A 22623-nucleotide genomic window follows, 5' to 3' on the forward strand; every position below is an offset into this window, starting at 1 on the left:
CAACATGGCAGAAGACCAAAGAGGAAGTGGGAAAGTGCCAAGAGGCCAAACACAAGGTACAACCTTGTACAATGGGTTGCTTTATAACAATCCATTCTCAGGGCAACTAATCTATTTCCACAGGAACCAATCCAGTTTCATGAGAGCAAGAACTCACTCACTATATGAGGACTGCACGAAGCTGCTTAAAATGGCAGAGCCCGCATGACCCAAGCATCTCCCATTAGGCCCTACCTCTTAAAGGTTCCAACATGATTTTTGACAGAAACACGGAAACCATGGCATTTCACCCTTGGAACTACAAACTCATGTCCCTCTTACACTACAAAATGTAATTATTCAATCTCAATGGTCCCCAAAGTGTTAATTTATTCCAGTAACAATTTAAAGGTCAAAGCCCAAAGTCTCATATAAGACTCAAAGCAAATTCCTTCTAGCTATGAGCCTGTAAAATAAAAATAAAAATAAAAAAACACAAGTTATTTACTTCCAAGATACAATGGTGGAATAGTCATATGGCAGACAGTCCCATTCCAAAAGGGAGAAATAAGCCAAAAGAAGAAAGAGGTGACAGACCTCGAGCAAGTGCAAAACTCAGCAGGGCATACACTAAATCTTAAAGCTCCAGAATAATTCTCCACTCTATGTGCTACCTCCTGGGCACAGTGGGGAGTTTTTATCCCTAAAGCCTTGGGCAGCCCCACCTCCATTGCTTTGTTGGGCATAGCCACATGGCTACTCTCACTGGTTGGAGTTGGATACCTGTGGCCTTTCCAGGCTGAGGTTGCATGGTGGCAATGGCTCTATAGTTCTGGAGTCCCAGTGGTGGTCCACTTCGTGGATTCACTGGGCATTGCCCTGGTACAGACTCTTTGTGGCAGCTCCAACCCTACATTTCTCCTCAGCTTTGCCCTAGGGGAGGTACACTGCAGTGGCTCTGGCCCTGCAACAAGTCTCCACCTGAGCTCCCAGTCTTTTCAGTACATTCCTTAAAATCTAGGTGGCAGCCACCATGCCTCCACTTCTCTTGTATTCTGCACATCTGCAAAAATAGTACCACAAGGTTGTAAAAGCCATCAAGGCTTACCGCTTGCACCCTCCAGAGTGCTGTCATGAGCTGTATCTGAGGCTGCTTGATCCATGACTGTGTGTCACCAAGGTTTATGGTTTGTATCTTGTGGAATGGCAGCCTGAGCCACACCTGAGTATGATTGTGCCATGGGTTGGGTGGCTGCTGAGGGCTGTGCCAGAATTTGGGGAGCAGGATCTCAAAACAGCACAGGGCAGTGATGCATGGGTTCTGTCTCTTAAAACCATTCTGTCCTCCTAGACCTCTGGAAAGGCAACCTCAAAAATTTCTGAAATGTCTTCAGGGCCTTTAAAAAAATTGTCTCAATAATTGTCAACTGGTTTTCTTCTCTCAGTGCTAATCTCTTTAGTATTGGTTGTTCTGCTGCACCCTTGGATTCTTCACCTGAAAATGCTCTTTCATTCTCTTCCACATGGCCAGGCTATTAATTTTCAAATTTTTGTGTTTGCTTCCATTGTCATTTTGCATTTCACTGAATGTAGTAAGGAGTAACTACATAGCTGCTCTATATTTTGCTTAGAAATTTCTTCTGCCAGGTACCCTAGTTCATCACTCTTAAGTTTGGCCTTCCACAAAACCTTAGGGCACAAAGCCTTAGAAACAACACAGCCAAATTTTTGCTATGGTCTAACAAGGATGACTTGGTCTCCAGTTCCTAATACCTTGTTCCTCATTTCTATCTGAGATCTCATTAGAATGGCCTTTGCTGTCCATATTTTTATCAGCATTGTGGTAATGACTACTTAACCAATCTCTGAGAAATTCTAAACTTTCTCTCATCTTTTTGTTGTCTTTTGAGCCCTCACTGAAATTATCCTTAATGCTCTGTTTATGGCAATACAGTCTTCTTCTAGTCTGCTCCTTCAAACTTTTCCAACTTCTGCGCATTACCCAGTTCCAATGATGCTTCTGCATTTTTGAAAATCTAAATAGCAACATCCCACTTTCAGTACCAATTTTCTGTCTTAGTCCGTTTTGTGTTGCTATAACAGAATACCGGAGACTGAGTAATTTATAAAGAGGTATATTTGGCTTGCAGTTCTGCAGGCTGGAAAGAATGACACTGGCATCTGCTTGGGTTCTGGTGAAAGCTTTAGTGTTGTGTCACAACATGTTAGAATAAGGTCAAAGGGGAGTAGGCAAGTACCAGGAGGCCAAGCATGAAGCGTGACCTCACCGTATAGCAATTCATTCTCATGGTAACTAATCCATTCCTGAGAGAACTAATCTCACAAGAGTGAGAACTCACTCACCAGTGTAAGAATAGTACCAAGCTTCCCACAAAGGAAGAGCTCCCAAGACCCAAACACTTCCCAATAGGCCCTACCTCTTAAGCGTTCCAACATGCGTTTTGGTAGAGACACTCAAACTATAGCAATAATAATTAGGAATAAATTTAACAAAATAAGTGTGAAACCTTTGCACTGAAAACTAAAAAACATCACTCAGATAAATGCCTAAATAAATGGAGAGATATATCATGTTAATGGATTAGATGACTCAATATTGTTAGATGTCAATTGATCTACAAATTAACTGAAATTCCTGCCAAAAGTCTAGAAAGATTGGAAAAATTGACACGCTGATTTTAAAATTATATAGAAATACAAAAATACCTAGAATAGCCAAAACAATCTTGCTAAGTAAGAATGAAGTTAGAGTACTTAATACTGCCTTATTTTAAAAATCAGTGTAAAGCAACAGTAGTTAAGACAGTGTAGAATCCACATTAAGAGAGATAGATAGATCAATGGAACTAAGTGGAGTTCAGAATCCAACCCACATAGTCAATTAATTTTCATCAAAGATGCTAAGACAATTCAATAGGAGAAAGATGTTCTTTCAACAAATGATTCTATAAGAACTGGTTATTCATTTACAAAAACTAAACCTAGATCCTTAGGTCATATACGAAAATTAACTAAAATGGATCATAGACCTAATTGTATGAGCTAAAACTGTAAAACTTCTAGGAAAAAAAAATAGGAGAAAATATTTATGACCTCAGACTAAGAAAAGGTTTCTTAGATATAATATCAAAAACATGTTCCATAAAAGAAAAACAGATAAATTGGACTTCACCAAAATGATGAAATCTTTGCTTTTCAAATATTTCTTAAATAAATGAAAAGAGAGGATCGTTCCAAGATGGCCGAATAGGAACAGCTCCTGTCTGCAGCTCTCAGGATAATTGACATAGAAGACAGGTGATTTCTGTATTTCCAACTGAGGTATCTGGTTCATCTCACTGAGACGGGTCGGACAGTGGGTGCAGCCCACAGAGGGTGAGCCAAAGCAGGGCAGGGCGTTGCCTCATCTGGGAAGCAGCACAAGTGGTCGGGGATTTCCCTTCCTAGCCAAGGGAAGCCGTGACAGACGGTACCTGGAAAATCTGGACACTCCCACCCTAATACTGTGCTTTTCCAGTGGTCTTAGCAAACGGCACACAGGAGATTATATCCCATGTATGGCTTGGTGGGTCCCATGCCCACACAGCCTTGCTTACTGCTAGTGCAGCAGTCCGAGATCGAACTGCAAAGTGGCAGCCTGGGCTGGGGGAGGGACGTCCACCATTGCTGAGGCTTGAGTAGGTAAACAAAGCAGCTGGGAAGCCTGAACTAGGTGGAGCTCACTGCAGCTCAATGAGGCCTGGCAGCCTCTGTAGACTCCACCTCTGGGGGCAGGGTATAGCTGAGTAAAAGGCAGCAGAAACTTCTGCAGACTTAAACATCCCTGTCTGACAGCTCTGAAGAGAACAGTGGTTCTCCAGCATGGAGTTTGAACTCTGAGAATGGACAGAGCTGCCAGTAGGGACTTACTGACACCTCATACAGCCAGGTGTCCCTCTGAGATGAAGCTTCCAGAAGAAGGATCAGGCAGCAATATTTGCTGTTCTGCAGCCTCCACTGGTGACACTCAGGAAAACAGGGTCTGGAGTGGACCTCCAGCAAACTCCAACAGACCTGCAGCTGAGGGTCCTTATTGTTAGAAGGAAAACTAGCAAACAGAAAGGAACAACATCAACAAAAAGGACATCCACACCAAAACCACATCTGTAGGTCACCATCATTAAAGACCAAAGGTAGATCTAACCACAAAGATGGGGGGAAACCAGAGCAGACGAGCTGAAAATTCAAAAAAACAGAGCGCCGCTTCTCCTCCAAAGGATTGCAGCTCCTTGCCAGCAATGGAACAAAGCTGGATGGAGAATGACTTTGATGAGTTGACAGAAGTATGCTTTAGAAGGTCAGTAATAACAAACTTCTCTGAGCTAAAGGAGGATGTTCGAACCCATTGCAAGGAAGCTAAAAACCTTGAACAAAGATTAGATGAATGGCTAACTAGAATAAACAGCATAGAGAAGACCTTAAATGACCTGATGGAGCTGAAAACCATGGCACAAGAACTAAATGATGCATGCAAAAGCTTCTGTAGCTGATTCAATCAAGTGGAAGAAAGGGTATCAGTGATGGAAGATCAAATAAATGAAATGAAGTGAGAAGCGAAGTTTAGAGAAAAAGAGTAAAAAGAAATGAACAAAGCCTCCAAGAAATATGGGACTATGTGAAAAGACCAAATCTAAGTTTGATTGGTGTACTTGAAAGTGATGGGGAGAATGTTTTAGACATGAAATCCTTGCCCATGACTATAACCTGAATGGTATTGCCTAGGTTTTCTTCTAGGGTTTTTATGGTTTTAGGTCTAACATGTAAGTCTTTAATCCATCTTGAATTAATTTTTGTATAAGGTGTAAGGAAGGGATCCAGATTCAGCTTTCTACATATGGCTAGCCAGTTTTCCCAGCACCATTTATTAAATAGGGAATCATTTCCCCATTGCTTGTTTTTGTCAGGTTTGTCAAAGATCAGATAGTTGTAAATATGCGGCATTATTTCTGAGGGCTCTGTTCTGTTCCATTGATCTATATCTCTGTTTTGGTACCAGTACCATGCTGTTTTGGTTACTGTAGCCTTGTAGTATACTTTGAAGTCAGGTAGTGTGATGCCTCCAGCTTTGTTCTTTTGGCTTAGGATTGACTTGGCGATGTGGGCTCTTTTTTGGTTCCATATGAACTTTAAAGTAGTTTTTTTCCAATATTGATTCTTCCAACCCATGAGCATGGAATGTTCTTCCATTTGTTTGTATCTTCTTTTATTTCATTGAGCAGTGGTTTGTAGTTCTCCTTGAAGAGGTCCTTCATGTCCCTTGTAAGTTGGATTCCTAGGTATTGTATTCTCTTTGAAGCAATTGTGAATGGGGGTTCACCCATGATTTGCCTCTCTGTTGGTCTGTTATTGGTGTACAAGAATGCTTGTGATTTTTGTACATTGATTTTGTATCCTGAGACTTTGCTGAAGTTGCTTATCAGTTTAAGAAGATTTTGGGCTGAGACACTGGGGTTTTCTAGATATACAATCATGTCATCTGCAAACAGGGACAATTTGACTTCCTCTTTTCCTAATCGAATACCCTTTATTTCCTTCTCCTGCCTAATTGCCCTGGCCAGAACTTTCAACACTATGTTGAATAGGAATGGTGAGAGAGGGCATCCTTGTCTTGTGCCAGTTTTCAAAGGGAATGCTTCCAGTTTTTGCCCATTCAGTATGATATTGGCTGTGGGTTTGTAATAGATAGCTCTTATTATTTTGAGATATGTCCCATCAATACCTAATTTATTGAGAGTTTTTAGCATGAAGTGTTGCTGAATTTTGTCAAAGGCCTTTTCTGCATCTATTGAGATAGTTATGTGGTTTTTGTCTTTGGTTCTGTTTATATGCTGGATTACATTTATTGATTTGCATATGTTGAACAAGGCTTACATCCTAGGAATGAAGCCTACTTGATCATGGTGGATAAGCTTTTTGCTATGCTGCTGGATTCTGTTTGCCAGTATTTTATTGAGGATTTTTGCATCAATGTTCATCAAGGATATTGGTCTAAAATTCTCTTTTTTGGTTGTGTCTCTACCAGGCTTTGGTATCAGGATGATGCTGGCCTCATAAGATGAGTTAGGGAGGATTCCCTCTTTTTCTATTCATTGGAATAGTTTCAGAAGGAATGGTACCAGTTCCTCCTTGTACCTCTGGTAGAATTCGGCTGTGAATCCATCTGGTCCTGGACTGTTTTTGGTTGATAAGCTATTGATTATTGCCACAATTTCAGAGCCTGATATTGGTCTATTCAGAGATTCAACTTCTTCCTGGTTTAGTCTTGGGAGGGTGTACGTGTCGAGGAATTTATCCATTTCTTCTAGATTTTCTAGTTTATTTGTGTACAGGTGTTTGTAGTATTCTCTGATGGTAGATTGTATTTCTGTGGCATCAGTGGTGATATACCCTTTATCATTTTTTATTGTGTCTATTTGATTCTTCTCTCTTTTCTTCTTTATTAGTCTTGCCAGCAGTTTATCAATTTTGTTGATCTTTTCAAAAAACCAGCTCCTGGATTCATTAATTTTTTGAAGGGTTTTTTGTGTCTCTATTTCCTTCAGTTCTGCTCTGATCTTAGTTATTTCTTGCCTTCTGCTAGCTTTTGAATGTGTTTGCTATTGGTTTTCTAGTTCTTTTAATTGTGATGTTAGGGTCAGAAAACACCACAAAGATACTCCTCAAGAAGAGCAACACCAAGACACATAATTGTCAGACTCACCAAGGTTGAAATGAAAGGAAAAACGTTAAGAGCAACCAGAGAGAAAGGTCGGGTTAGCCACAAAGGGAAGCACATCAGACTAACAGCAGGTCTCTTGGCAGAAACCCTACAAACCAGAAGAGAGTGGGGGCCAATATTCAACATTCTTAAAGAAAAGAATTTTCAACTCAGAATTTCATATCCAGCCAAACTAAGCTTCATAAGCGAAGGAGAAATAAACTCCTTTATAGACAAGCAAATGATGAGAGATTTTGTCACCACCAGGCCTGCCTTACAAGAGCTCCTGAAGGAAGCACTAAACATGGAAAGGAATAACCAGTACCAGCCACACAAAAACATGCCAAATTGTAAAGACCATCAATCCTAGGAAGAAACTGCATCAACTAATGAGCAAAATAACCAGCTAACATCATAATGACAGGATCAAATTCACACATAACAATATTAACCTTAAATGTAAATGGGCTAAATGCCCCAATTAAAAGACAAAGACTGGCAAACTGGATAGAGTCAAGACACATCAGTGTGCTGTATTCAGGAGACCCATCTAACGTGCAGAGACACACATAGGCTCAAAATAAAGGGATGGAAGAAGATCTACGAAGCAAATGGAAAGAAAAAAATAGCAGGGATTGCAATCCTAGTCTCTGATAAAACAGGCTTTAAACCAACAAAGATTAAAGAGACAAAGAAAGCCTTTATATAATGGTAAAGGGATCAATGCAACAAGAAGATCTAACTATCCTAACTATACATGCACCCAATACAGGAGCACCCATATTCTTAAAGCAAGTCCTTAGAGACCTACAAAGAGACTTAGACATCCACACAGTAATAATGAGAGACTTTAACACCCCAATGTCAATATTAGACAGATCAATGAGACAGAATGTTAACAAGGATTTCCAGGACTTGAACTCAGCTCTGCAACAAGCAGACCTAATAGACATCTACAGAACCCTCCACCCCAAATCAACAGAATGTACATTCTTCTCAGCATCACATCTCACTTATTCCAAAATTGACCACATAGTTAGAAGTAAAACACTGCTCAGCAAATGTAAAAGAACAGAAATCACAACAAACTGTCTCCCAGACCACAGTGCCATCAAATTAGAACTCAGGATTAAGAAACTCACTCAAAACCACACAAATACATGGAAACTGAACAACCTGCTCCTGAATGACTATTGGGTAAATAACGAAATGAAGGCAGAAATAAAGATGTTCTTTGAAACCAACGAGAACAAAGACCCAACATATCAGAATCTCTGGGACACATTTAAAGCAGTGTGTAGACGGAAATTTGTAGCACTAAATAACCACAAGAGAAAACAAGAAAGATCTAAAATTGACACCCTAACATCACAATTAAAAGAACTAGAGAAGCAAGAGCACACAAATTCGAAATCTAGCAGAAGGCAAGAAATAACTAAGATCAGAGCAGAACTGAAGGAGATAGAGACACAAAAAACCCTTCAAAAAATCAATGAACCCAGGAGCTGGTTTTTTGAAGAGATCAACAAAATTGATAGACCACTAGCAAGACTAATAAAGAAGAAAAGAGAGAAAAATCAAATGGATGCAATAAAAAATGATAAAGGGGATTTCACCACTGATCACATGGAAATACAAACTACCATCAGAGAATACTACAAACCCCTCTACACAAATAAACTAGAAAATCTAGAAGAAATGGATAAATTCCTGGACAAATACACCATCCCAAGACTAAACCAGGAAGAAGTCGAATCCCTGAATAGAACAATAACAGGCTCTGAAATTGAGGCAATAATTAATTAGCCTCCCAACCAAAAAAAGTCCAGGACTAGATGGATTCACAGCCGAATTCTACCAGAGATACAAAGAGGAGCTGGTACCATTCCTTCTGAAACTATTCCAATGAATAGAAAAAGAGGGAATCCTCCCTAACACATTTTATGAGGCCAGCATCATCCTGATACCAAAGCCTGGCAGAGACACAACAAAAAAAAGAGAATTTTAGACCAATATCCCTGATGACCAATATCAATATCAATGCAAAAATCCTCAATAAAATACTGGCAAACCGAATCCAGCAGCACATCAAAAAGCTTATCCACCACTATCAAGTCAGCTTCATCCCTGGGATGCAAGCCTGGTTCAATATACGCAAATCAATTAACGTAATCCATCACACTTCAGCCTTCGAGTAGCTATCAGGTGCGCCACCATGCCCAGCTAATTTTTGTGTTTTTAGTAGAGATGGGGTTTCACCATGTTGCCTAGGTTAGTCTTGAACTCCTGGGCTCAGGTGATCTGCTCGCCTTGGCCTCCCAAAATGCTAGGATTACAGGCATGAGCCACTGTGCCCAGCCAATCTATGTAACTTTTCATGGAAGGCAAATCTATAAAGAAAGCAGATCATTTGTTACTTGGGACTTGGGTAGGTGGGAGTGAGGATTTAATGCAAATAAGCAGAGGAAACTTTTTGAGATTATGTAAGTATTCAAAAACTGAATTTTTGTAATTGTTGTACAACTCTATAAATTTGCCAAAACTCATCGAAATGTGCATTTAGAATAAATAAATTTTGTGCGCTGTGTATTATACCTCAAAAAAGCTGATAAAATATAAATTGGAACAAAAGTACTGGAAAACAGTAAGTTGGGGATGAATGAGGGTGATCAAAATTAATGCATCCTTCAAGATGAAACTAGTGATTTTAATTTTACAATTAGTTTTTTAAATTACTTGTTAATTCAAGTACACATATTACATTTCAAGGGTAATTGTGAATAGAATAGAACTAGAACATACAACTTTTAAACAAATAGAGGGGAAAAACCTTGATCAATCTAATAGAATGCATTGGGGAAAAGAATTGGAGAAATAATATGGTTAACAGAAAGCACAATATATGATGACAGAAGTAAATATAAATTTATCCATAACCACAATAAACTTAAATCATCTAAATTAGTTAAAGACAGACACTTGAAGACTGGATAAAAATGTGAAAATCCAGGTATAACCCGTAATAGTTAAAAACATGAAGACACAAAATTCTGAAGGTATGAGATGAGTAAATGATAAATAAAACAAATATTAACCAATATATGGCTGATATAGCTATTTTCATATCAAAAACTATAATTTAAGACAAAAAAACATTCTGAGGAATAAAAGTCATTATGTAAAGACATGTATGCATGTAACAATTCAACCGTAAAATATATGAAGCACAAATTGGCAGAATTACAAAGAAAAATGGCTAAATCCTCAACTTTGAAGAAACTTAAACCTCTGAGTCAATGATAATCAAAATGTAGTAAGATTATCTCAGATTTTTACCACTGTATTTAAAAAGCTTAATTTAAAGGAAATATATAGACTGCTGTATGCTCAAATTAGAGAATATATATATACTTTGAAGCCTGATAAAGTCTTAGGAGAACTGAACCTATGCTAGCCTATGAATCAAATCACAACAAATAAACAAACATTATAACATGTGGCCTATACTCTGTAACCAAAATGCAATTTATTAGAGAAAAAAATGTAAATTTCTTTCATCTTCAAACTAAAGGCATACCTTAAATAATTTTTCAGTCAAAGAAGACATGAAAATGAAAATCAGAAGATATTTGGATGTGAAATACTACATAACAAAACTTCTGAGATAGAGCTGAGGCAGTACTGAAAGGGTAATTTATATGTTTACATGTTTATATTGAAAAATAGGCTGAAAATTAGTTAAGTGTCCACCTTAGGAAGTTTAGAAAGAGAAAAAGAGATTGGGCATGGTGGCTCAGGCCTGTAATCCCAGCACTTTGGGAGGTAAAGGAGGGCGGATTACCTGAGGTCGGGAGTTCAAGACCAGCTTGGCCAACATGGTGAAACCCCTGTCTCTACTGAAAATACAAAAATTAGCTGGGTGTGGTGGTGGGTGCCTATAATCCCAGCTACTCGGGAGGCTGAGGCAGAAGAATTGCTTGAGCCAGGGAGGCAGAGGTTGCAGTGAGCCGAGATTGGGCCACTGCATTGCAGCCTGGGCAACAGAGCAAGACTCTGTCTAAAAAAAAAAAAAAAAAAAAAAAAAAAAAAAATTGGAGTAAACCTAAATAAAATAAATTAAAGGAAATAAGGCTAAAAGTAGAAATAGACATTAATAAACTATAAAACAAAGAAACAATAGGCAAGATTCACAAAACCAAATGCTGATTCTTTGAAAAGAATAATAAAATAGGCACTCTTCTGGTAACATTGATTAATTAAAAAGAGAAGGTATAAATAAGCAATATTAGGAATAAAAAATGAAGTGTAAGATAAAATATGAGTGAAAAAATAATAAAGTGAATACTATAAATGACTATATGACAACAGTCTAAAAACATAAGTGAAATGAACAACTTCGTTGGCTACTATAACTTATAAACACTTAGTCAAGAAGAAATGGGACACATGAATATTCATGTATCTATTTTTAAAAATTCAATCAGTAAATACTTTCTCATAGAAAACACCCACTAGTATGAGATACTTTAATATGAAAGTTCTACCAAACATTCAAAGAACATATAAATAAGCACTATCATATCAAAATAATTTCAGAGTATGGAAAAAGAGGGAACACCTTCAATTCATTTTGTGAGGCTAACATAAATGCAATATAAATATTTAAGATCATTATAATCCAAGAAAATTGGAGGCCAAACTAAGCTTAGATACAAACATCTAAAATAAAATAATAGTAAATCTAGTAATGTATTCTAAAATAATTCTGGACCAGTTGGGTATCTCAGGAATAGAAGCAAACGTTTAACAGTTTGCCCAAGCAGCTTTTATTTTATTTTATTATTTTTAAGGAGACAAGGTCTTGCCCTGTTGCCTGGGTTGGAATAGTGGCACGATCATATATCTCACAGCATCCTTGACCTCCTGGGTTCTAGGGAACCTCTGCCTTAGCCTCCTGAGTAGCTGGGACTACAGGCACACACCACAATGCCTAGCTAATTTTAAAATGTTTTTATTTTGTAGAGATGAAATCTCACTATGTTGCCCAAGCTAGCCTCACACTCTTGGCTTCAAATGATTCTTCCACCTTGGTGCCCCGAAGTGTTGGGATTACAGGCATCAGTCATGGCACCTGGCCTGAGCAGGTTTTAATAAGTCACCCCATGTTTGGAGAATTTCTAACATTATTAATACTACTTTCCCAATGCAGAAGCCAGGAACACAAGTTTTTAAACTTCCTTTGTCATGAAGGCATAGACACATGATGAACACACTGCTACTGACATTAATTTCTGCTTTTATCTGCATAGCTGGTACCTCCAGGAAAAGGAGAGGAATGAGGTTGGAAAATAGTACATAGGAAGCTTCAACTATATCTATAATGATTTTATATATATATATATATTTATATTTTGAGGCTGGAGTGCAGTGGCACAATCTTGGCTCACTGCGACCTCTGCCTCCTGGGTTCAAGCGATTCTCCTGCCTAAGCCTCTTGAGTAGCTGGGACTACAGGTGCATGTCATGATGTCTGGTTAATTTTGTATTTTTTAGTAGAGATGGGGTTTCACCATGTTGGCCAGGCTGGTTTAAACACCCAACCTCAGGTGATCTGCCCGCCTCAGCCCCCAAAGTGCTGGGATTACAGGCGTGAACTACTGTGCCTGGCCAGATAATGTTTGAATTAGAATGTTGCATGCATAAATATGATATCTTGGATATTGAAGAGACCACATAGACAAACTATATAAAAGGAAAAGAGGAAAAGGCTCAGGTCTAAGTCCTGAGTGATATTTCATATTTAGAAGTTAGGAAAAGAAGAATGGAATATGGAAGACAAGAAAGGAAGAAGCAGTGAGGGAAGAAGAAAACCAGTAAGTAGTGCCTCAGAATTAGAAAAAAAAAGACAAGTGTTTCAATAAGAGAGTGATCATTGGCGTCAAAAGCTGCAAAGATCTTGAATACGATGCAGACAGAAACGTTCACTGGATTTGGTTAATACACTTAGTCAGATAACAAAAAACCAGCAATTTCACCAGTTACGCTCCTTTTCATACTCCAGAGATGAAGGATAATATTCACTAGCCTATATAATATTCTAGGTCTTGAATGTTAAATAACATAACATAGGTGATTGTGTTAAATGTCAGAATATTTAAGGAATAATTATGTTGTAATATACAGGCCAGCGTGCATTTGTTGCTTGCTGGAGTAGTCAAGTTTTATTTCTGACAAGTCTGCAGTTCCAGGGAGCCTCTCCCTGGCTGAGTAACTCTCACCCATCCATCTGTCAGGGAGAGTTTGCTGTGCATCCCAAGTATCTTAGAATTGGGTAGAAGTTTAGCTTTAATTAGTTTGACCTTGAGTCTAGCAACAGGAGAGGGAACAGGCGGTGAAGAGGTCGTGAATGATGTCCCAGCAGCAGGAGACAGGGAGTGTCATTATCATTCCTGGCCTTCTCACAGTACTCTGAATACAGAGAATGAGGAAGATTAGGGGGCCCTGTCTGCTGACTCCCTGATGATCTCAGACCCTCTCTGCTCTTTCTGGATGGTGACCTGTTAATTCTGGCATACTATTACTGATAATATATTTATACTTTTCACTGTGATTTGCCCAATTGTTGCTTTAGCTCTGGACCTTGTCAAGAAGTTGTTGGTAGTGGATCCAAAGGCACGTTTTATGACAGAAGAAGCCTTAAGACACCGTGGCTTCAGGAGGGTGTGGGACAGTGCCTGCTAGCATAAAATACATGGGAAGCCCTGCTGCCTGAGAGACATGAGACAGAGGACAGAAACATGTTTAGTCTGTTTAATCTAATTGTTTTAGATGTATGGGGGGTATCTTGGAGGATGGGTTACAACCTGTCTTTTTTTTTTCTTTTTTCAGACAGGTTCTCATTCTGTCACCCTGGCTGGAGTGCAGTGGCATGATCTCAGCTCACTGCAACCTCTGCCCCCTGGGTTCAAGTGATTCTCCTGCCTCAGCCTCCCAAGCAGCTGGGATTAAAGGTGCATGCTACCAAGCCCAACTACTTTTTGTATTTTTTGTAGAGATGGGGTTTCGCCGTGTTGGCTAGGCTACAACCTTTTCGATGTTACTCATGGCTGTTGGATGTACAAGCTCACTTTATGTCCTGTTCTGGTTCCACTTGGCTGTCCCAAGTCTCCAGTATGGCCTGTGTTCTTTTGAGGGCTTGTTCTGGCTCTAACCCCAGCCATGTCCACTGGTCTTCATAGGTGCGGTGCATTCCAACCATCTTCAACCTTAAATCGGGGAAGTGGGGGAGGGGGAGGAGGGCAGCCTCCATGGGGAGAATCCAGCTATTTCTTGAGCCCAAGTGACTGGGTATAAAGGGTCCCACTGCTTGTTCATTCAGGTGAGTAAATGTGTCCTTAGTGAAGGCCGTCACCTGCACTTTTCATCTGTGTTACTGCTCTGCTCCTGCTAGGGGTTGGGGCTGCCATTATTAAATGCTGACCTCATTTGGAACTGCCAAGAGTTGGAAGTACGTTTTGGCTTTGCTGGATTAATCTTTAGTTTTGGAATTAGCTACGGCATTGGGCAGGTGTTCTGATAGATGTCTGGTCTTCTGTAATGAGCAGTTCCATTCAACACAGCCATGCCCCTTTCTATTAATTTTCTTTTGGTCTGTGTATTAGTCTGTTCTCACACTGCTATAAAGAACTGCCCAAGACTGGGTAATTTATAAAGAAAGGAGGTTTAATTGACTCACAGCTCCACATGGCTGGGGAGGCCTCAGGAAACTTACAATCATGGTGGAAGGGGAAGAAGGCGTGTCTTAATGGCAGCAGGTGAGAGAGCTTGTGAAGGAAGTGAAGGGCGAAGAGCCTTTTATGAAACTGTCAGATCTCATGAGAACTCACTATCATGAGAATAGCCTGGGGGGAACTGCCCCCATGAGACAATCACCTCTCAACAGTTCCCTTTCTCACCACCAGGATAATACAATTTGAGATGAGATTTGGGTAGGGACATAAAGCCAAACTGTATCAATCCGTTTTCTGTGGAGATGGGGGACAGAACTCGTAGCTTGAGCTAAAGGCTGTTACTTGAGCTAAATGCTGTTTCTCTGGGGATTACTGGTCCAGGAACTCCTTGGGCAATCCAGCCTCAGCCCCGTACTTCTGGGACTCTGGGAAGACTGTCCCCATTCTCTGTTCTAATACTCTACACCTAACAGTTTTGCTCAGGCCAGCTCAGGTTGAGAACAAGAAAAACTTAAAAAAAAAAAAAAGACAGATATATGTGTTTTGGATGTTGCGCTGGAAACTATAGTCTCCCCAGAAGAAATCTGTCAGATGATTTAGCATTTAATAGACCACACAGATTTGAAACAGTGGGACCCTGGAGGAAAGGGGTTTGGAAACAAAGGGTGCCTTTGCATGTGGGGATTTTAATTTTGATGAAAAAGAGAAACATGTCTTTTGGCTCTTTTCATGTGTCCTAATAGGGAAACTCTTGGGTCTAAATGTAGAGGTACAGGAGCTGTGTTCATCTCCAGCAAAAAAAACAGAGCTGGCCTGTTGAGCCTGGGAACAGGGTTTGCATCTGCCTGAAATTTATGAGCAAGCACAGCCCATTTTTCTTGTACTTCTTCATCTCAAAGAAAACTTATTAACAACCAAGGAGAAGGTGTAGTTCATCTCTGTTGCAGGATCTCCCTGGAATACTCTTCTAGCCACCTTTTGTTTTTGCAGTAAAAGGAGGAATGAGCATTGAATGAAGACGAGGATGAAGACTGACCATCTAAAACATCTGTTAGTGATAGTTTGGGTTTTATTTTGGGAAAATTCAGTGTTTTCACAAAAACCAAATGGTTTTGTGGGTCTGGCGCTGGACTGAGTGTTGGGAATGTGGATTCTGGTCTCTGTTTTGTCATTAACAGAGTGCCCAGTTTTGGGAGCATCCCTTACATCTACTGTCTGCCTCATATTTACTGCCTGAAATAGAGGATTACTTCTGTTTGCTTTCAAGGGATATTATAATTTAATTTTTATTTTATTTATTGTTGGAGACAAGGTCTTCTTCTGTTGCCCAAACTGGAGTGCACTGGTGCAATTATAGCTCACGGCAGCCTCGACCTCCTGGCCTTAAGGGATCCTCCCGCCTCAGCCTCATAAAGTGCTTGGATAATAGGCACGAGCCACTGTTCCTGGCTAATTTAATATTTTGGAATAATTGTAGACATCATGAAGAAAATCAATGTTTATTTATTTATTGCCTTTTTTGAGATGGAGTCTCGCTTTTGCCTACCAGGCTGAAGTGCAATGGTGTGATCTCAACTCACTGCAACCTCCACCTCTGGGTTCAAGTGATTCTCCTGCATCAGACTCCCAAGTGGCTGGGATTACAGGTGCCTGCCACAATGCCCAGCCCATTTTTGTATTTTTAGTAGAGATGGGGTTTCACCATGTTGGTCAGACTAGTCTCAAACTCCTGACCTCAGGTGATCCACCCACCTTGGCCTCCCAAAGTGCTGGGATTCCAGGCATGAGCCACTGCGCCTGTCCTGATTACTTGTTTTAAATATAGGCCTGATTAGGCTTGTGACCACTCTGTTTGGCTTCACTGAAGGGCTTCCAAGAGATGGACTTTTGAGAGTGACACTGCAAGATAATTGAGATCCTAAGTAAGGCTGTGAGAGGGTGCGGAGAGGAATCCAGATGAGCTTGCTGCTGTCAAATGGCAATGGGGAGCTACACTGAGTAACTCAAAACAGAGTGACCTCAAGTGATCTGCCCTGCCTTGGCCTCCCAAAGTGCTGGGATTACAGGTGTGAACCACTGTGCCTGGTCCTCCTTTCCTTCTTTCTTTCTTCCTCTTTCCTTCCCCCTCCCCTCTCCTCCATTCCTTTCCCCTCCCCTCTTTCATCCCCCCTCCCTTTTTCCTTCCTTGCTTCTTTCCTTCCTTCCTTCCTCAGGGTCTTGCTCTCTCACCTAGGCTGGAGTGCAGTGGCATGATCACTGCACCATGACTTTCAGGCTCAAGTGATCCTCCTGCCCCAGCCTCCCAGGTAGCTGAGACTACAGGTGCATGCCACCGTGTCTGGCTAATTTAAATTTTTTTTTTTTTTTTTTTTGAGGCAGAGTCGTAGTCTTTTGCCCAGGCTGGAGTGCAGTGGTGTGATCCTGTCTTACTGCAACCTCCGCCTCTCGAATTCAAGTGATTCTCCTGTCTCAGCCTCCTGAGTAGCTGGGATTACAGGCATGCACTACCACACCTGGCTAATTTTGTATTTTTAGTAGAGACGGGGTTTCACCATGTTAGCCAGGCTGATCTCAAACTTCTGACCTCAGGTGATTTGCCCGCCTTGGCCTCCCAAAGTGCTGGGATTACAGGCGTGAGCCACTGTGCCTGGTCCTTCTTTCCTTCTTTCTTTCTTCCTCCTTCCTTCCCCCTCCCCTCTTTCATCCCCCCCCTTTTAAATTCCTTGCTTCTTTCCTTTCTTCCTTCCTCAGGGTCTTGCTGTCTCACCTAGGCTGGAGTGCAGCGGCATGATCACTGCACCATGACTTTCAGGCTCAAGTGATCCTCCTGCCCCAGCCTCCCAAGTAGCTGAGACTACAGGTGCATGCCACCATGTCTGGCTAATTTAATTTTTTTTTTTTTTTGAGACAGAGTCGTAGTCTTTTGTCCAGGCTGGAGTGCAGTGGTGTGATCCTGTCTTACTGCAACCTCTGCCTCTCGAATTCAAGTGGTTCTCCTGCCTCAGCCTCCTGAGTAGCTGGGATTACAGGCATGCACTACCACACCTGGCTAATTTTGTATTTTTAGTAGAGACGGGGTTTCACCATGTTAGCCAGGCTGATCTCAAACTTCTGACCTCAGGTGATTTGCCCGCCTTGGCCTCCCAAAGTGCTGGGATTACAGGCGTGAGCCTCCGTGCCTGGCCTAATTTTTAATTTTTTTTTTTTGTAGTGACAAAGTCCCACTATATTGCCCAGGCTGGTCTCAAATTCCTGGCCTCAAGCAATTCTCCCACTTTGTCCTCCCAAAGTGCTGGGATTATAGGCATGAGCCACCATGCCCAACCTAGTGTTGTAAAAGTTCCATATCCATCAAATTGCCAAATGGTGGAGGACTTTGCTGTATCCTCTCCCTTTCCCCACTGTGGTATGCTTGGCTCAGTGGGAGGAGGGGCTGGAGTTGGGTGGGAAAGTACATGAGGCATTGGAATCAGATAACTCTGGGTCTGTATTCCGCACATGCCACCTGTGAGTGGCTGAGCTGGGCTTCTGGCCAACACTCAAAGGCCACATTCCTATTTATAGATGTTCCTTTCACCTTGCTGAAGATGGGGAGAGCTGCACCAGACCACCTCTCAGGGTTTCCTAATGCAAATCCTTGAACCCTGCAGAAGTAAGCATCCAGAGAGGTGGGAGCTACTCGTATACACACTGTCTGTGCCCTCCTCATCTCCCGCTCCTGCAGCATGAAACAGCTGTAATGCTTTGTTATGTTTATTGTCTCCCTTTCTCATTAGACCTGAGCTCTGGGATATTGTGGCCTTAAGTACTTCTGAAAATTTGTATGGCATCTGCTGGGTGAATTTTCCTAGGGTGCTGGGCTGGTTGTTAGGACAGCCTGGGTGACTGGCCTCATTCATGGCAGGGGCAGCAGGTGGAGAGTGGTCCCGGAAGGATTTGAGGAGCTGCACGGAGTCAGGCCCAGCCCCTGGCCCCCTGATTGTCACCTTTCTCAGGATCTGGGATGTTAATTCAGAAACTCTTGACTGCTGGAGGCTGTGATTGACCCACTGAGAGCTTTTAGGCATGTGGATGTGAGTCAGCCAGGATTGATGGAGCATTGACTGCTAATTGGACTCCTCTGGGAAGGTAGAGGGGGGCAATACATAATGCCTTCGCTGTGGGAGCTTCATCAAGGGGATGATTCTTGGAAGGACATCTTTTCCTCCCTCTTTCCACAGGGGCATGCTAGCCCTGTCATTCTAGGAGTTTATTATCCTTCAGACACAGCTACTTATGTTTTTAATTCCCTCACAGGATGAAGACATGAAGAGAAAGTTTCAAGATCTTCTGTCTGAGGAAAATGAATCCACAGCTCTATCTCAGGTTCTAGCCCAGGTATTCGTATTCCTGATGATCACTAAATATAGTCTGGGCTTAAGGAGCTGATTAGCAAAGATGATGAAATTCAAGATTTTCCTGAGTAGCAATTGCTTAACATTGTTTCAGTTATAATGTAGTAGAAACTCTGTTTGAACTTGATTCACTCCAGCACCCTTAGATTTAAAATTGCAGGATATGTTTAATATCTAACACATAATAGACAGATAAGCACAGCTAGGGATTGTCATCCAAAAGGTCACCTGCAAGGCAATTTCAAAAGACTCTATTAGAGGCTCAAATATAAATTTGTTGGAAAATTAAAATTTGGGTCAGTAGTTGATTCCTTGATTACAATTTTGTTCTTTAAAGTTCTTTGTGAGTATAAGTTAATTCCAGTCCTGCTTTTTTGTTGTTGTTGTTGTTGTTGAATGGTAGCTGTCCTTTTTCCCACTGTTTTCTCCCCCCCCGATTTTTATTTTCTTGAGACAGACTCTTAGTCTGTCACTCAGGCCAGAGTGCAGTGGTGCAATCTCAGCTCACTGCAACCTCTGCCTCCTGGGTTCAAGCAGTTCTCCTGCCTCAGTCTCCTGAGTGTCTGGGACTACAGGTGTCTGCCACTGTGCCCAGTTAATTTTTGTATTTTTAGGTGAGATGGGGTTTTGCCATGTTGGTCAGGCTTGTCTCGAACTTTTGACCTGAAGTGACCTACCCACCTCGGCTTCCCAAAGTGCTTGGATTACAGGTGTGAGTCACCACACCCAGCCTTCCTCCCAATTTTGTATATGGGAAAACAACTAAGGCACAAAGGTTGTCTTCCCGCAAAAGACCAAGACTTGGGGCTTCAAATGAGAGGTATTGTAGTCCTTTTAAACTTGATATTTAGAAGAGGATGATCAAGAGGAAGTTGGTTATGCTACTTGCTTTCAGTATACATCATTCAGAGGTCAGAAGCCATAAGGGAGAGAAATATCCATTAGATAAGCATGTCTGAGTTGTGGGCTGTGATGAGGACTCAGTTGTCAATGATGAAAACCAGTAATTTTTGGTACTAGAATTTCACATCAAATGCCCCCACTTTACTGGAAGTACATTGAGGAACTTTGATAATCTTAAAGAAGCCAGTGATTTTCTTTTGAATATTTCTCCATTTTCCTTTATTTTCAGCCTTCTACTAGTCAAAAGCGGCCTCGTGAAGGGGAAGCCGAGGGTGCCGAGACCACAAAGCGCCTGGCTGTGTGTGCTGCTGTGTTGTGAACTCCGTGGTTTGAACATGAAAGAAATGTACCTTCTTTCACTCTGTCATCTTTCTTTTCTTTGAGTCTGTTTTTTTATAGTTTGTATATTAATTATGGAAATAATTGTTTTTTCACAGTCACTGATGTACAATAAAAAACCTGATGGAACCTGGGCTTTGTGCTTCTGCTTGATAATCGGTTCTTTAGTTGAATGGCTTTATTATTTATTTATTTGAGACGGAGTCTCACTCTGTTGCCCAGCCTGAAGTGTAGTGGTGCAAGCTTGGCTCACTGCAACCTCTGCTTCCCAGGTTCAAGCGATTCTCGTGCCTCAGCCTCCTGAGTAGCTGGGATTACAGGTATGCGCCACCATGCCAAGCTAATTTTTATATTTTTTTGTAGAGACAGGGTTTTGCCACGTTGGCCAGCCTGGTCTTGAACTTCTGACCTCAGGTGATCCGCCTGCCTCGGTCTCTTAAAGTGCTGGGATTACACACGTGAGCCACTATGCCTAGCCTGAATGGTTTTTTTATATTTAAAGTTGTTGTGTGCCTTTCATCTGGAGCTACACCTTGGCTATCACTAGGCAGGTTTCCCAGGATGTCACCCTGGTCTCAGCCTGTGAGAGCTGAATGCAAATTCTAAGGGCCCTTGGAAAGTTCCAGGGAAAGGAGCATAGCGAGGTTGGGGGTGGAGTTTGTAGAGACTGGCTGGCTGGCTGCTGACATCTTCATGAGAACAGCAGGTACCTTGGTGCATAATAACAGGCCAGGTTATATTCTCATCCTTGCCCTCATAAAGATACAGGTCTACAGTCTCTGAAACCTTTGGGCTAGATAAGTTGTGAAATTTAATTACCCAATTTTCGGAAGGTGGTAAGGCATATCTACTATGTGTATGTGTAGCACCCCAGTGGAGTCCTACACATGTGGAGTCCTACCCCAGTGGAGACCAAACATGTTAATATTTCCACAGCAAATATTCACAGTAAGAGGGATAGAGAAAGATTATAGGTAGTTGCATATTGACTCATATCAGTCTTTTCTTCCAAATGAGCTACAATGACTCATTTCTGAGAGCTGTTTGGGTTTTTGAAGTGGAGATAAGGCACGGTTATGTCTTGATGACCCAATAATGACCGGGGAGGCCCTGTGCAAAGACTTACCCTTGGCTGCTCTTGTCCTCACAGTGATTCTATGAGGTCCTCTAGCCACTGTCATGTCACAGGTGAGGAAACCAAAGTTGGAGGATGAAGGTAACTTTTCTGATGTCGCGCAGCTGGTAAATGGCAGAGCTGGGACCCAACCCAGGTCTTTTTGACTCTAAAGCTAATGTTCCTTATTGTCCACTGAATCTGCTTTTATAACTTTGCTTGGTCGATGCTAGGACACTTTGTAGCTCACTGGCCATGCCATGAATTGAGTGCCGTGGTTCAAAGGCCACTGGTGATTCAGTCAAGGCAGGCTCGAGGGCACACAGCCATTTCCTTAGGAAATGGGGATGGTGGTTGAAAATTTCTATTAAAGGGTATATAAGCATTCTGAGACTTGGCTGGCCAGGTGTAGGGGGTTTGTTGGGAATTTAGGTGGTTTGCATGTTTAAAGGAATAAGACTGAGATTGCCAATTAGATGGGTTTTAGCTCATTTGAATATTTAATGTGGAGGCTGTGGTTTCCTGGGACATTTTTCCCACTGTGGAGAGTTAGCCAGCTTTTCTCTGTTGCTTTTTTCTTTTTTCTTTTTTTAATCGAGATGAAGGTGACAATCATCTTATGCTTGTCACCCAGGCTGGAGTGCAATGGTGCAATCTCAGCTCACTGCAACCTACGCCTCCTGGGTTCAAGCGATTCTCCTGACTCAGCCTCCTGAGTAGCTGGGATTACAGCCACCTGCCACCATGCCCAGCTAATTTTTGTATTTTTAGTAGAGATGGGGTTTCACCATGTTGGTCAGACTGGTCTTGAACCCCTGACCTCAGGCAATCCACCCACCTCCCTCCCAAAGTACTGGGATTAGAGGCATGAGCTACCATGCCCGGCCGCCCTTCTCTGTTTCCAGAGCATTTTGTATTAACTCCCCCTCATGATATCTTCCATGGCAGGCTGAATAATGGCCCCTCCAAAGTGTCCTCAACTTAATCCCCAGAATCTGTGACTATGTTCCTTTCCATGACAAAAGGGACTTTGCAGATGTGATTAAGCATCTTGAGATGGGAACTTATCCTATGTTGCCTGTGGGCCCAGTGTCCCATCACAGTGCTTTTTTTTTTTTTTTTTTTGAGATGGAGTTTTTTGCTCTTGGTGCCCAGGCTGGAGTGCAATGATGCAATCTCGGATCACTGCAACTCCACCTCCCAAGGTTCAAGCGATTCTCTTGCCTCAGCCTTCCGAGCAGCTGGATTACAGGTGCTCGCCAACATGTCCAGCTAATTTTTGTTTTTCCAGTAGAGATGGGGTTTCACCATGTTGGCCAGGCTAGTCTCGAACTCCTGACCTCGTGATCTGCCCACCTTGGCATCCCAAAGTGCTGGGATTATAGGCGTGAGCCACCACATCCAGCC

The sequence above is a fragment of the Homo sapiens genome (genome assembly GCF_000001405.40).
Source record: "Homo sapiens chromosome 16 unlocalized genomic scaffold, GRCh38.p14 Primary Assembly HSCHR16_RANDOM_CTG1".
NCBI lineage: Eukaryota > Metazoa > Chordata > Mammalia > Primates > Hominidae > Homo > Homo sapiens.